This window comes from Homo sapiens, chromosome 14 (genome assembly GCF_000001405.40).
Source record: "Homo sapiens chromosome 14, GRCh38.p14 Primary Assembly".
Taxonomy (NCBI): Eukaryota; Metazoa; Chordata; class Mammalia; order Primates; family Hominidae; genus Homo; species Homo sapiens.
Window position 1 is genome coordinate 35,730,265 of NC_000014.9, and position 16,987 is coordinate 35,747,251.

General features: G+C 37.9%; 1 protein-coding gene across 21 annotated transcripts in view; it reads right to left on the reverse strand.

Moving 5' to 3' along the window:
- The window catches only part of RALGAPA1 (Ral GTPase activating protein catalytic subunit alpha 1), a 270,940-nt gene that overhangs the window by 191,909 nt on the left and 62,044 nt on the right, over nt 1-16,987 (reverse strand). For all 21 annotated transcript variants that reach the window (XR_007063998.1, NM_194301.4, NM_001346246.2 and 18 more), the window contains exons 11-12: nt 12,104-12,301; nt 8,249-8,386 (exon numbers count right to left, since the gene is read on the reverse strand). Coding sequence is in view for 20 of the 21 variants with exons in the window: in NM_194301.4 (NP_919277.2) it covers nt 8,249-8,386; nt 12,104-12,301 (336 nt within the window). In the remaining variant the exon portion in view is untranslated. The remainder of the gene's footprint in view (nt 1-8,248; nt 8,387-12,103; nt 12,302-16,987) is intronic.

Below are 16,987 nucleotides of genomic sequence, written 5' to 3' on the forward strand. Positions count from 1 at the left end.
CTGCCTGGCACCACAGGGATCCTTTGGGAGGGTGGCCAGAGGCGTGTGGAAAATGCCACAGGGAGAAGGAAGTCTCCAGATGAACTTTGTAAAAATTTGAACCAGGCAAGAAGCCTCCTGGCCAGAACTCAAAGGAGGGTGTGAATCCGGTGTGCAGACTCCACAGGCAGGGGAAGAACCAAAGCCCATTTCTTTCACAGCTGGGAGGAAGGTAGCCCAGGGAAAGTTCTCAAACCCTGCTCGCCCACTGCCTGGAAACAGACTCAGTGTTGTTAGGGCGGGCATGGTGGGAGACAGACTGGCCCTTCAGATTGCTTGGGAGGTGGGTAAGGCCTGTGACTGCCGGCTTTCCCTGAGTTCCCTGACAACCTGCATAACTCAGCAGAGGCAGCCATAATCCTCGTAGGTACACAACTCCATTGACCTGGGAACCTCACCCCCATCCCTCACAGCAGCTGTAGCAAGACCCACCCAAGGAGAGTCTGAGCTCAGACACACCTAGCCCTGCCCCCACCTGATGGGCCTTCCCTACTCATCCTGGTAACTGAAGACAAAGGACATATGCTCTTGGAAGATCTAGGGCCCCATCCACTGCCAGTTCCTTTCCATACTACCACAGCTGATGCTCTCTGGAATGTGCCACCTCCCGGCAAGAGGCCAACCACCACAAAAACAGAGAATTAAACCACCAAAGCTAAGAAACCTCACAGACTTCATTTCACCTGCTGCCACCTCCACTAGAACAGTTGCTGGTATCCATGGCCGAGACAACCACAGACAGTTCACATCACATGACTCTGTGCAGACAAACTCCACTACCAGCCTGGAGCCGGGGAGACTAGCTGGGTGGCTAGACACAGAAGAGAGACAACAATCACTGCGGTTCAGCTCACAGGAAGCCACATCCATAGGAAAAGGGGGAGAGTACTACATCAGAAGAACACTCTATGGGACAAAAGAATCTTAACAACAGCCTTCAGCCTTAGACCTTCCCTCTGACAGAGCCTACCCAAATGAGAAGGAACCAGAAAACCAACTCTGGTAATATGACAAAACAAGGCTCTTTAACACCCCCAAGAATCACATTAGCTCACGAGCAATGGATCCAAACCAGGAATAAATCCCTGATTTACCTGAAAAAGAATTCAGGAGGTTAGTTATTAAGCTAATCAGGGACACACCAGAGAAAGGCAAAGCCCAGTGCAAGGAAATCCAGAAAATGATACAAGAAGTGAAGGGACAAATATTCAAGGAATTAAATAGCTTAAAGAAAAAGCAATCAAAAATTCAGGAAACACTGGACATACTTATAGAAATGCAAAATGCTCTGGAAAGTCTCAGCAATAAAATTGAACAAGTAGAAGAAAGAAATTCAGAGCTGGAAGACATGGTCTTCAAATTAACCCAACACAACAAAGACAAAGAAAAAAGAATAAGAAAATATGAACAAAGCCTCCAAGAAGTCTGGGATTATGTTAAACAACCAAATCTAAGAATAATTGGTGTTCCTGAGGAAGAAGAGAAATCTAAAAGTTGGAAAACATATTTAGGGGAATAATCAAGGAAAGCTTCCCTGGCCTTGATAGAGACCTACACATCCAAATACAAGAAGCACAAAGAACACCTGGGAAATTCACTGCAAAAAGATCATCACCTAGGCACATTGTCATCAGGTTATCTAAAGTTAAGATGAAGGAAAGACTCTTAAGAACTGTGAGACAAAACTACCAGGTAACCCACAAAGGAAAACCTGTCAGATTAACAGAGATTTTTCAGCAGAAACCCTACAGGCTAGAAGGGATTGGAGCCTTATCCTCAGCCTCCTCAAACAAAACAATTATCAGCCAAGATATTTTGTATCCAGCAAAACTAAGCATCATATATGAAGGAAAGATACAGTCTTTTTCAGATAAACAAATGCTGAGAGAATTTGCCAATACCAAGCCACCACTAAAAGAACTGCTAAAAGGTGCTTTAAATCTTGAAACCATCCTAGAAACATATCAAAACAGAACCTTTTTAAAGCATAAATCACACAGGGCCTATAAAACAAAAATACGATTTAAAAATCGAAAACAAAAAAAAAAAACCAAGGTACACAGGCAACAAATAGCACAATGAATGGAATGGTACCTCACATCTCAATACTAACATTGAATGTAAATGGTCTAAATGCTCCACTTAAAAGATAGAGAACTGTAGAATGGATAAGAACTCACCAACCAACCATCTGCTGCTTTCAGGAGACTCAACAAACACAGAAGGACTCGCATAAGTAAAGGGGTGGAAAAAGGCATTTCATGCAAATGGACACCAAAAGCGAACAGGGGTAGCAATTCTTGTATCAGACAAAACAAACTTCAAAGCAACAGCAGTTAAAAGAGACAAAGAGGGACATTATATAATGGTAAAAGGCCTTGTCCAACAGGAAAATATCATAATCCTAAACATATATGCACCTAACACTGCAGCTCCCAAATTTATAAAACAATTATTAATAGACCTAAGAAATGAGATAGACAGCAACACAATAATAGTGGGGGACTTCAATTCTCCACTGACAGCACTAGACAGGTCAAGACAGAAAGACAACAAAGAAACAATGGATTTAAACCATACCTTGGAACAAATGGACTTAACAGATATATACAGAACATTTCATCCAACAACTGCAGAATACACATTCTATTCAACAGTGCATGGAACTTTCTCCAAGATAGGCCATATGATAAACCACAAAATGAGCCTCAATAAATTTTAAAAAATTGAAATTATATCGAAGCACTCTCTCAGACCACAATGGAATAAAACTGGAAATCAACTCCAAAGGGAACCTTCAAAACCATGCAAATATATGGAAATTAAATAACCTGCTCCTGAATGAGCATTGAGTCAAAAACAAAATCAAGATGGAAATTTAAAAATTCTTCTGGCTGGGCACGGTGGCTCACACCTGTAATCCCAGCGCTTTGGGAGGCTGAGGCGGGCGGATCACCTGAGTGTGGGAGTTCAAGACCAGCTTGACCAACATGGAGAAACCCCGTCTCTACTAAAAATACAAAATTAGCCAGGCATGGTGGTGCATGCCTGTAATCCCAGCTACTCAGGAGGCTGAAGCAGGAGAATTGCTTGAACCCGGGAGGTGGAGTATGCAGTGAGTTGAGATCGCACCACTGCACTCCAGCCTGGGCAACAAGAGTGAAACTCTGTCTCAAAAACAAACAAATAAGCAAACGAACCAAAAAATTCTCCAAACTGAACGACAATAATGACACAATCTATCAAAACCTCTATGATACAGCAAAGGTGGTGCTAAGAGGAAAGTTCATAGCCCTAAAAACCTACATCAAAAAGACTGAAACAGCACAAACTGACAGTCTAAGGTCATACCTCAAGGAACTAGAGAAACAAGAACAAACCAAACCCAAACCCAGCAGAAGAAAGGAAATAACCAAGATCAGAGCAGAACTAAATTAAAACAACAAACAAAATACAAAAGATAAATGAAAGAAAAAGCTAGTTCTTTGAAAAGATAAATAAAATTGATAGACCCTTAGAAAGATTAACCAAGAAGAGAGAAAATTCAAATAAGCTCATTAAGAAACAAAACAGGAGATACACCAACAGCAACCAAGCAGAGAATCAAATCAAGAACTCAACCCCTTTTATTATAGCTGCAAATAAACAAATAAATAAATAAATAAATAAAATACTTAGGAATATACCTAACCAAGGAGGCGAAAGACCTCTACAAGGAAAACTACGAAACACTGCTGAAAGAAATCGCAGATGACACAAACAAATGCAAACACATCCCATGCTCATGGATGGGTAAAATCAATATTGTGAAAATGACCATACTGCCAAAAGTGATCTACAAATTCAATGCAATCTCTATCAAAATGCCACTATAATTCTTCACAGAATTAGAAAAAACAATTCTAAAATTCATATGGAACCAAAAAAGGACCCACATAGCCAAAGCAAGACTAAGCAAAAACAACAAATCTGGAGGTATCACACTACCTGATTTCAAACTATACTGTAAGGCCATGGTCACCAAAACAGCATGGTACTGGTATAAAAACAGGCACAGAGACCAATGAAACAGAATAGAAAACCCAGAAATAAACCCAAATACTTACAGCCAACTGATCTTCGACAGAGCAAACAAAAACATAAAGTGGGGAAAGGACACCTTTTCAATAAATGGTGCTGGGATGATAGGTTAGCCACATGTAGCAGAACAAAACTGGATCCTCATCTCTAATCTTATACAAAAATCAACTCAAGATGGATTAAGGACTTAAATCTAAGACCTGAAACAATGAAAATTCTAGAAGATAACATTGGAAAAATCCCTCTAGACATTGGCTTAGGCAAGGATTTCATGACCAAGAACCCAAAAGCAGTATAAAAACAAAGATAAACAGCTGGGACTTAATTAAACTAAAGAGCTTTTATACAGCAAAAGGAATAGTCAGCAGAGTAAAGAGAAAACCCACAGAGTAGGGGAAAATCTTCACAATCTAGACATCTGACAAAGGACTAATATCCAGAATCTACAATGAATTCAAATAAATCAGTAAGAAAAAAAACAAACGATCCCATCAAAAAGTGGGCTAAGGACATGAACAGACAATTCTCAAAAGAAGATATGCAAATGGCCAACAAACATGAAAAAATGCTCAAAATCATTAATGATCAGGGAAATGCAAATCAAAACCACAATGCGATACCATCTGACTCCTGCAAGAATGGCCATAATAATAAAAAAAAAAAAAAATCAAAAAACACTAGATGCTGGCATGGATGTGGTCATCAGGGAACACTTTTACATTGCTGGTGGGGATGTGAACTAGTACAGCCACTATGGAAAATGGTGTGGAGATTCTTTAAAGAACTAAAAGTAGAACTGTCATTTTAATCCAGCAATCCCACTACTGGGTATCTACCCAGAGGAAAACAAGTCATTATATGAAAAAGATACTTGCACACACGTTTATAGCAGCACAACTTGCAACTGCAAATTGTGGTACCAACCCAAATACCCATCAATCAACGAGTGGATAAAGAAACTGTGGTACATATAGACAATGGAATACTATTCAGCCATAAAAAGGAATGAATTAACGGCATTTGCAGCAACCTGGGTGAGACTGGGGACTATTATTCTAAGTGAAGTAACTCAGGAATAGAAAACCAAACATCATATGTTCTCACTGATATGTGGGAGCTAAGCTATGAGGACACAAAGGCATGAGAATGATACAAGGGACTTTGGGGACTTGTGGGAAGGGTAGTAGGGGGGCAAGGGATAAAAGACTGCAAATAGGGTGCAGTGTATACTGCTCAGGTGATGGGTGCACCAAAATCTCATATCACCACTAAAGAACTTACTCATGTAACCAAATACCACTGGTACCCCAATAACCCATGGAATAATAAAAAATAAAAATAAAGACTATCAACTGGGGGAAAAATGAATAGAAAAAAGGAAATGAAAAAAGAGTAAGACAAAATTCAAATGCAAATTTTTTAACAGAATCAAGAGATATTAAATTATTTCATTTCTAAAGTTTTACTCTGTTTTGCAGTTATGCTGTGGGCCAGCCCTAGTCTATGCACCACACTCTGAGGAGCAATGATGGCCTTATAGACCATTATAAAGACTTCTGCATTGCTGCCTAGTGATAATGGAAAGTCACTGGAGGGTTCTGAGCAGAAAAATGACATAATCTGACTTACATTTTACAGGATCCCTCTGGCCAGAGCAGAGTGACAGGTGGGCAGGGCAGAAGCAGGGAGACTAATTAGAAATTTACTACAATATTACAGATGAAAGATTAGAGAGAGAAACTTAGACACAAGAGGTAGTGTGTGTGCTGAGCAGTAGTCAGATTCTGTACACATTATGAAGGGAGAGCTGACAGGATTTGTCATCAAATTAGACAAACGTTAAGGGAAATGGAAAACAGAGTTGCCAGTAAATGAAACAAGGAAGACTGCAGGAAAAGCACTCAAATTTGAGATACTTATTAGATAGCCAAGTGAAAATGACAATTTGATATTTGAATATTTTAGTTAAGGATTCACAGAATTCAGATGAGAGATCCTAGACTACATATAAAAATCTGAAGCTGTAGCATACAGATGATATTTAAAGCCATCTATATGTATGAGACAAGAGAATAAGAGATTCAAGAACTGATTCCTGGGCACTTCAACATGAAAAGGTCAGGGCTTTACAGAAAAATCAGTGAAAGAATCTGTTTTAAGAAGTGGACAATGAAGTGAGAAGAAACAGGAGGATATGCTATTCTGGAGGCCAAGCAAAGAAGCATTTCAATGGGGAAGGAATGATCTACTCTGTAAATGCTTCTGATAAATCAAGCAGGATTAGGAATGAAAAAATGTACATCTGATTTAACAATGTAGAGGTCACATGTGGCCTTGACAAGGACATTTTGATTTAAAAAGTGAATGATTGGCCAGGCACAGTGGCTCATGCCTATAATCCCAACACTTTGGGAGGCTGAGGCAGGCAGATCACTTGAGGTCAGGGGTTTAAGACCAGCCTGGCCAACATGGCAAAAACCCATCTCTACTAAAAATACAAAAGTTAGCCAGGCATGGTGGCGTGTGCCTGTAATCCCAACTACTCAGGAGGCTGAGGCAGGAGAATTGGTTGAACCTGGGAGGCAGAGGTTGCAGTGAGCTGAGATTGTGCCACTGCACTCTAGCCTGGGTGACAGACCGAGGCTCCATCTCAAAAAAAAAAAAAAAAAAGTGAATGAATATAATGAACTCCTACAAACCATTAAGAGAAAGACCAACACCCAAAATAATGGAAAAGCATATGAATTCATAGATAAGAAAAGATGCTCAAATTCAGTACTGATGAAGGAAAAGCAAATTAAAATGGAAAAACACAAACTTTTTTTTAAAAATGAGACAATATTTCACATATAAAGGACCAGCAAAAAATTAAAATCTGACAGTACAAGTAATAGGGAGAACATAAGGAAATGAGAACTCCCAAACACTACTAGAGGGAATGTAAATTATTCTGACAAAGTGGAGAACAATTGGGCGATAATAGTAAAGTTATTAATGTACAAATCCTACAACTCAGTAATGCCACTTTTGGTATATAACCTAGGGAAATTTTCCCAGCTGCATATAAAAATACATGTATAAGAATGTTCACAGTTGGGCGTGGTGGCTCATGCCTATAATCACAGCAATTTGGGAGGCCAAGGCAGGTGGATTACCTGAGGTCAGGAGTTTGAGACCAGCTTGGCCAACATGACGAAACCCCATCTCTACTGAAAATACAAAAAAATTAGCCAGGCGTGGTGGCGGGCACCTGTAATCCCAGCTTCTTGGGAGGCTGAGGCAGGAGAATCATTTGAACCCAGGAGGCAGAGGTTGCAGTGAGCCGAGATCGTGCCATTGCACTCCAACCTGGGCAACAACAGTGAAAATCCATCTCAAAAAAAAAAAAAAAAAAAAAAAAAAAAAAAAAAAGAATGTTCACAGCCAGGCATGGTGGCTCACACCTATAATCCCAGCACTTTGGGAGGCTGAAGCGGGTGGATCACCTGAGGTCAGGAGGTTCGAGACCAACCTGGCCAACATGGTGAAACCTTGTCTCCACTAAAAATACAAAAATTAGCTGAGCATAGTGGCACGCGCCTGTAATCCCAGCTACTTGGGAGGCTGAGGCAGGAGAAGCATTTGAACCCTGGAGGCAGAGGTTGCAGTGGGCCAAGATCGCACCATTGCACTCCAGCCTGGGCAACAAGAGCGAAAACTCCATCTCAAAAAAAAAAAAAAGTTCACTGTAGTACTATTTGGAATAGTGAAAAACTGGAAACAAAAGACCATCAACAGAAAAATGAATAAGTCAAATGTGAAATAAAGTACAATACCACAAAATAGTTAAAATGAATTATGGCTGTATAGTAACAACAAATCTCATAAACAGAATGGCTAATAAAAAAAATCAGTTGCAGATGACAGTACACCATAACATAATTTATATAACATTTAAAATTATCTAGAATAATATGTAATGTTTATTAATATATATATTAAGTGATGAAAGGAAAAAATAAAATATGGCATAATGATAAATATAGGTGGTGAATTTATTATATTGTGAAAAGTATACTGTATACTGAAATACTGAACAGAAATATTTAATGATTATTTTATTTTTAAAAATAGCCATAAAGTGATCCACCTGCAAAACTGCCTGGGTACCAGCTCGTATGTTTTGTTCTGTGGCTTCTTCAGAGGCGTTATGAAGAGCACCTTGGTAGGAGCCGTTTTTTGCCCAACTGGAATTTCGAACATGATCAGCAGTATTGGTCCCATTTTCCTGAAGCAAAATATCAAGTTTTTAATATTTCATTACTAAGAATGCTGCAACTAGTCAGTTAAGTTGAAAAGGTAAATGAAATTGTTAGGTCCCACTGCTAAACAGGTTTCTTTCTCTCAAAATAGATGATGTCTTATCCAAATCCAAAAACAATGTATATTCACTGTAAAAAAGGATTCTCAATGACAAAAATATAAAGTAAAAAACAACAACAAAACCCATAATGAGCAGCCAGAGATTATATCATTCCAGAGAGTATTCTTCTATAGGTCTAATGTATAAACCTCCCTTTCATACTCTCACACACTCAAGAATGGGATTATACTACCTATAGCTTTGTAAAAAGATGAATTCTGTTCTAAATTAAATGCCAGAATTCAAATAAATGACAAAAAAAAAAAGGCTTATGTTTATCCTACTTAGGAGTACTAAAATTCTCATTATTCAAAGAATACTGAAACTTCAAATCACTGAGACTACAGCTTTCTGCCTGCATTTTAGCTGTAACAAGTCTTACAGACAAGGGAGTTCCCTCAGTTAAAAAGTACAAACAGAAATGCCACTCTGCAGTTCTCTTTTTAAAGTGTCCCTCCATTTTCTTCCTTCTTGTCATTCACCAATATCTTTAAATAGTTAAGTTTTACAAAAATATTTTGTATAGGGTTTGTAATATGCAAAAGGTTTAGTCCAATACAAACAGTTCTGCCATTACCAGAAACAGTACTGGAACCCTGCCCTGAGTAGCCAATAAAACATGCCATGGTCTAGTCTAGCCTTTCTCTTAAGCTCCATGTCCCTGTAATCAAGTGTCTTCTGAAGAGCCCTTCCTGAATGACCCACAAGCATCTCAAACTTCAGATATTTTAAAATAAGTTTATTAATCAGATTCCCCCCAATTCCTGCCAACCCAATCCCTCCAGCTGCCTTAGCCATCACCAAACTTGAGCTGTTTAAAATTCCCATCCATGTGTGAATGGCAACTACTCTGGTTGCAAAAGAAAGAAACTTGCGACACCTCCCCATTCCTCAAAAACACTAGTATATCTGTCCTCTCCCTTATATTTCCACTGCAACTACCGCTGTCCTAGATCAGGTACTTATCATCTCACTTCCAAACTTTGCTAATCCTTCCTAACTGGTCTCCTTGCCTACAGACTGACCTACAATCTATCCTCCATTCTGGGCCTGGTATGACCTTCTCAAGTATGTAACTGTTCATGCTACTCTCTTATTCAAAGGCTTTCCAGTTTCTAGAATGTAATTAAAGCCTACTAACATGGCATACAAGTTACTGAACAGAATCTAGTCCTGTCTATCTCATATTTCCTGCTGTTCTGTCTCATCTACTCTACGCTGCAGCCAAATAAAAATATTTTCAAGGTTTCTCATACATTTGCAGGTGCTATTCACACGGTGTGTTACCTTTCCCATTTGTCTACCTGTTCTTTTATCTTATACTATCTCTTCCATGAAGCATTCCCTGATTTCCCCAAGCAGAGTTAGGTGTTCTCTCTTTCATGCTCTAGGATCATAGCAGTAACACTGTTTTATAATAATACTTATTTTGTATGTTTGTCTTCCAGCTAAACCAGAAGTTATGTGAAGGTAGAAATAATGTCTGCTCATGTTTCTACCTCCAACACTTGTTCTCAATGTGGGCAACCAAAAGCTTTGTATGGTATTTTGAAATTTGTGAGTGTTTTCTTGTCACAATAAATAAAAGATACCACTGGAATTTAATGAAATAGGACAGAGAATGCTAAGCATCCTACACAGCACATGACAGTCCTACACACAAAAAAGAAACTGTCTTGTATTCTGTATGTCTTTCAAATGTCTCACAGATGCTATGAGAATTTTAAAAGCCCACTTAGGTCAGGGGCTGTGGCTCCCGCCTGTCATCCCCAGCACTTTGGGAGGCTGAGGTGGGCAGGTCACTTGAGCTCAGGAGTTCAAGACCAGCTGGGAAACATGGTGAAACCCTGTCTCTATTAAAAATACAAAAAAATTAGCCAGGCATGGTGGCGAGTGCCTGTAGTCCCAGCTACTTGGGTGGCTGAGGCTGGATGATGGCTTGAACCCGGGAGGTGGAGGTTACAGTGAGCTGAGCTCATGCCACTGCATTCCAACCAGGGCGACAGAGGAAAACCTTGTTTCAAAATAATAATAATAATAAATAAAATTAAAAACCCATTTACAATTATCTGAATTTATAACATAATTCCACTTTATAACTGTAACACCAAAAATTTAAATGACTCCCTTATATATTGAATTTATCAGAAATGTAAACCAGAACATTATACCTTTTGGGTTTGGTCCACACCATTTGCAAGAGTCGCTGGCACTTCGAAAAACCACATCTCTAATGGCAGCCAGTGCTGGTTACACTACTTGAGTAACGAATAGAACAAACCTACACAACATACCTAACATCACCAATCTACCCTTTCCTCTCTCCTTTCATTCCTTCCATTGTTTGTTTTTCAATTATGTATGTAGATAGTTTATATTATCCATCATTCTTATTTAAGAATAGTAAATGATGTGGGGTAGGCTCATTATATATGGCACATCATGACTAAAAAAGTCAGAGAAAACAAATTCTTTTTAAACTCATAGGTTTATTTTCCAGCATAAAAATATCAATAAATTTGATATTTTTCATTGGTGTGTAAGAATTAGGACTGTAGATATTATTTCATAATTCATATGGTTAATTTTATTTACTTCAATTATATTTCTCAGTTACATTTTTCCCTTTCTTAGAAGGGGGGAGGGTGCTCTATGTTTGTGTGTATATATACATATACACGTATACACACACACACACACACGCTCAGGCTCATCAAATCCCTACAGAACTGGCCTATTCATCCACACATTAGTATCCTGACTAAATTCCACTGATGAGGTTAGATTAACCACTAAAGTGAATAAGCATTACTCAATCATTCCTATCTAGATTTAGCAAGATATGTATCAATCGCAGACAACTTTATGGTGAAAGGCAAATCAGACAAAACAGATAAATCACTTTCAATAAACTTTCTGCACTCCTAACTCCATCTTAGCATCTGCTGTTGGAGAGTCTGACCTGTGACAAAGGTTGAACAATCAAAGGAATAAATGGAACCCCAGGAACCCAAATGCCACCTCTACTACTCTCTCTTTTCTCATCTTTTCCCTGCTGTGAGTAAACTCTAGTCTTTCTTATCACAGAATAACTTATTTTACCAAGTCAAGAAGTTTCACATTCTGAAATCAGCTCTAGTGCAAAAGATTCCAAGGAGGGGGCACAAACACTGTAGCTTATGCTGGGTAGCCACTCCTAAATAGTTACTCCTTCCAGGAAAGGAGGAACTGTGGTTTGGTAATAACAACCCCCTGAAAGTATGTATTTTAAAATCCATTTTGATGTAGTACCACAGTTTGAAATATTATACCTTTATAACAGTACCTAATTTTTATCTAGACAATGGCTTAAAGAATCAGTATACAACCTCAATACTAATTTTTAAAAGTTGTGGTATCACAGGGCTTTGCTATACGGTACTGAGATGACTACTTATATTACCTAAATTGTTGCAAAATATACTGAAAGATATCTTTATCTTCCCATTTAATAAGTATATTTGTGTTAACCCATTATTATGTTTCTGCAAAACTCTTAATCTATTAGACTAACACTAAAATATATAAATCTTATAACTTCACCTCTTCTCTTTTTTCTCCTTCTTCCATTGAAATATCATGGTCTGTGACATTTTCAATGCAAGGGAGGTCTGAAGAAGTGATCACAATTTCTTCAGGCTCTTGCATGAACAAAGGTTTTTCCTCTTGTTGGATCCATTCTTGATATACTTTTACCACTTTTCTCATAGCTGCTGCTTCACAAATTGGTAATAAAAATGCCTAGGGAAAAAAAGGAGAATCAAGATAATGATACTTTTTCCTTTGCCACAAACCACTAACGCAGTAATGTTTTTCACATCACATCATAGATTCTTGGAAACTGCAACTTTAAGCAAAACAATGACATAAAACAAAACTCATTTTGCCATAAGCTAATTGATATAAATAAGAGTTAAGTTCCTAAGGTATATTTCTAGTAAAAAAAAAAAAAAAAATCACCAAACTTCTAAATAGAGACCACAACACTTACAATATTAAACACTGAAATAAATGTGAGCTATATGTACACTTAAGAAAGATTAATAAAAATAAGTAAGACAATTAATTACCCAAATATTCTAATTCAGGGTCACTGGTGGCCAGTGTATCCCAGCAGCTCAGGGGCAAGACAGGAACCCAGTCCTGGACAGGATGCCATTCCATTGTGGGGTGCAATCACATACACCCCAACACTCACCCGGACTGAGACCATTTAGACACACCAATTCACCTAATGTGTACAGTTTTGGGATATGGGAAGAAACTGTAGTACCTAGAGAAAACCCACATAGACATGGGGAGACCATGCAAACTCCACACAGACAGTGGCCCCTGCTGGGAATCTATTTTTTTTTTTTGCCATCAACATTATAGTTAAACAATGTTCTTAAAGATCTGCTGTACATTTATTTATCGTATTATAAAATGTGAGATAAAAAACAACTTTTAAAAGTTAACCAATTCATTGTCGTAAAAAGCCTATTGTCTCCAAATTAATTTGCACACTGATATAGGAATGTTTGTGGTAGATAGGCACTGACTTCAAGTAGAAGAAATAAAGATTAGTTGAAATTGTATTACTCAGAATGGTGATATTCCTTGCTTCCTGAAATAATTGAGCTCTTACAAAGGTCAATATAAATACGACTTTTCATAAGTTACACTTTTTTGTAACTCACATTATTGTGGTTTTTAAATTTTTTATTATTTTAGGGACAGGGTCTTGCTATGTTACCCAGGCTAGACTGAACTGGCCTCAAGTGGTTCTCCTGCCTCTGTCTCCTGAGTAGCTTGAACTACAGGCACACACCACCACACCCAGTCATCATTGTCTTTTTGAGAACTATTTCTTTTAAAATAGATTTTGATTTTAAAATAAAAATTAAATTTGCCTCCAGAAACTAATAAAAATCATATGTAATAAGGTACCTCACCTTTTCTAAGCATACAAAGAAAAAAATTAAGGCTTGCATATTTCATTTTATGTATAATCAAGTTCTATAGTTTAACAATAAGGCAAAATTTAAAAGAAAAATCTCATTGTTATTCTTTTCTTCCAGTATTTTCTGGGATCTTAAAAAAAATATTTTCCTTATCACAAATACACATTTTCATAGAAAAAAAATTTACACAATCCAGACAGGGAAAAATAAAACAGCAAAAATACGCTTAATCTCATCACCCAAAGTCTTTTCCTTGTGTGTGTTTGTGTTTATGGGTTAATATTTTTACTTTACTTTTTAGGTGCAAATAGAATTAAATTGCTGCCGGGCGCGGTGGCTCACGCCTGTAATCCTAGCACTTTGGGAAGCCAAGGCTGGCAGATCACCTGAGGGCGGGAGTTCAAGACCAGCCTGACCAACATGGAGAAAGTCCGTCTCTACTAAAAATACAAAATTAGCCGGGTGTGGTGGCGCATGCCTGTAATACCAGCTACTTGAGAGGCTGAGGCAGGAGAATCGCTTGAACCCGAGAGATGGAAGTTGCGGTAAGCTGAGATCACGCCACTGCACTCCAGCCTGGGCAACAAGAACAAGACTCCATCTCAAAAAAAAAAAAAAGAATTAAATTGCTTTTACTTTTTATTTTTTTATGATACTACCTGTTAATATCAACCTTAAAAATCACAAACCCTTTATCTAAAATCTGCCACTTTCTATTATAGAGTTATCAGTAGATGTATTAAATAATAATCACGTGGTCAAATGAACTTATCTTATCGGAATGAAATCAGCAAAAAAGTCAGCTCCCAAGATGATGATGGAAAGTTAAGGTGCAATATCAACAGAATATTTATTGTTGTTTGTTAAACCTTTTATTTGCTATTATTAATTCCTTAGTAAACTACTTTGTTATTTTCTTTAATCAACTCATTCCTAAATTATCACTCTCATATTCTAGCAGCTTAATGGTCAAATGGCAAGATTTTGATCATCACTGCCTGCTTTAAGAATATTTATTTTACAGTTGTAGCAACAGCTCAGCCTTCCTTAAAAAGATTCACAATAAAATTTAAAACATTAAAATAGTTAAAATGATCCCAAAGAAATTCTAAGATACAGAAAAATTAGTATGTACTTCCCACTCAATTTTGCTGTCAATCTAAAACACTGAAAAATAAAATTTAATAATCTTAAAAAATTAATATCATCCAGAGCTAAAATATTACACAAGTTGTCAGACTACAACCTAGCAGCTTGAATTTACTATAGACCAGAGACCTATGTCCTTGCAGGTTCCAAAATATGATTTTGCCAACATGCTAAATATGAATTGTGAGGAAAGACTGTTATTAGCCATAGCTAAAAACTGATGTATAAAACCAGAGTGATAATTTATCAATTTACAATGAGAACTAACTGTCAAAGAAATCAGAATATTCAAGTTCATAAATCAGCAGTTAATTCGTCTATGAAGAAGCAACAAAAGACCTGGAATAATCTTGACAAGGAGAACAAAGCAGGAGGTACCCACATGTCTTGATTTCAAAATACATTACTAAACAGTAATCAAAACAGTATGGTACCAGCATAAAAAACAGACATATAGAGCAATGGAACAGACAGCCAGAAATACACATACACAGACACACAGACAGACACACACACACACACACACACACACACAGTATTATCCAGCCTTTAAAAAGCAGAAAATCTGGCCGGGCACAGTGGCTCATGCCTGTAATCCCAACACTTTGAGAGGTTGAGGCGGGCAGATCACGAGGTCAGGAGTTCGAGACCAGCCTGATCAACATGGTGAAACCCCATCTCTACCAAAAATACAAAAATTAGCTGGGCATGGTGGCGCATGCCTGTAATCCCAGCTACCCAAGAGGCTGAGGCAGAAGAACTACTTGAACCCGGGAGGCAGAGTCTGCAGTGAGCCGAGATAGTGCCACTGTACTCCAGCCTGGGTGACAGCACGAGACTCCATCTCAAAAAAAAAAAAAAAAAAAAAAAAGGCAGAAAATCCTAGGGCCAGGCACAGTGGCTCATGCCTTCAATCCCAGCACGCTGGGAGGCCGACGAGAGAGGATGGCTTTAGGCAAGGACTTAGAGACCAGCCTGGGCAATATTATAGCGAGAACCCCTCTCTACAAAATAACTTTTAAAAATTAGGTAGGCATGGTGGTGTGCACCTGTAGTCCCAGCTACTCAGGAGGCTGAGGCATAGGTATCAGTTGAGCAGTGAGTTGTGATCACACCACTGTACTCCAGCCTGGGAAATGGAGTGAGGCCCTGTTTCAAAAAAACAAAAAGAGGGAAATCCCACATTTGCAACAACATGGATTAATCCAGCAGACATTATTCTAAGTGAAATAAACTAGACACAGAAAGACAACTTACTGTATAATCTCACTTAAATTTGCAATATAAAAAATCAAACTTATAAAAACAGAGTAGAATGGTAGTGACTAAGGGCTGAGCAGCAGGCAAAATGGGAGATGCTGATCAAAATGTACAAAGGTTCAGTTATGTGGGATGAACAGGTTCTGGATATCTAGCATGGTGACTATAGTTAATAATCCCATATTTTACACTTGAAATTTGCTAGAAGATTTTATCATAAGTGTTCTTACCATATGCAAGCAAATGAAATTTTATCTATGTAAGGCCATGATTATGTTAACCAGATTGATTGTAGTAATCATCCGCAATGTACAGGTATATCAAAACATCACAATGTACACCTTAAATATATAGAATTTTTATTTGTCGGGTATACCTCAATAAAGTTGGGAAAACCCCATAAAATTAGAAGTGTTTGATACCAACATACATCCACTAAAGTAATTTCTAAATGACGAACTTCAAGCAGAGGAAAGTGATTCTAAATAGAAGATCTGAAAGGGAAGAAATCATGATAAAATAAAGTGGCAAATATATAACAAATACACACCAACACAAAAAATAGAACTAAATTACTTGATAGTAATATATATGTTGGGGGGAAAATCAGACTAGTAGGGTTCTAAGGTCCTTGTATTGATTAGGAAGAGGGTAAAAAAATAACTTTAGAACTTGAAAAGTGAAGTATACATGTTAAAACTTATACGATAACCACTAAAGGAAAAGGAATGGGGGCTGGGGGGAAAAGATAGAAAAAGACAGAAAGAAAAGACTAATAAAACTGACAAATCTCTGGCAAGAATCATCATTAAAAAAAAGAAAAAAAGAAAGAGAGAAAAACAAACAAGGGATAGGGCCAGGCACAGTGGCTCATGTCTATAATCCCAGCACTTTGGGAGGCCCAAGGCAGGAGGATTGCTTGAGGCCAGGAGTTCAAGACCAGCCTGGACAACAGAGCAAGACCCCACTCTACAAAAAAAATTTAAAAATCACCAGGCAATTAAATACTGCATTTATGGGAATGAAAAGGAGAAACATGACTATAAATGCTTCAGAGGTTAAAAGGATTATAAGA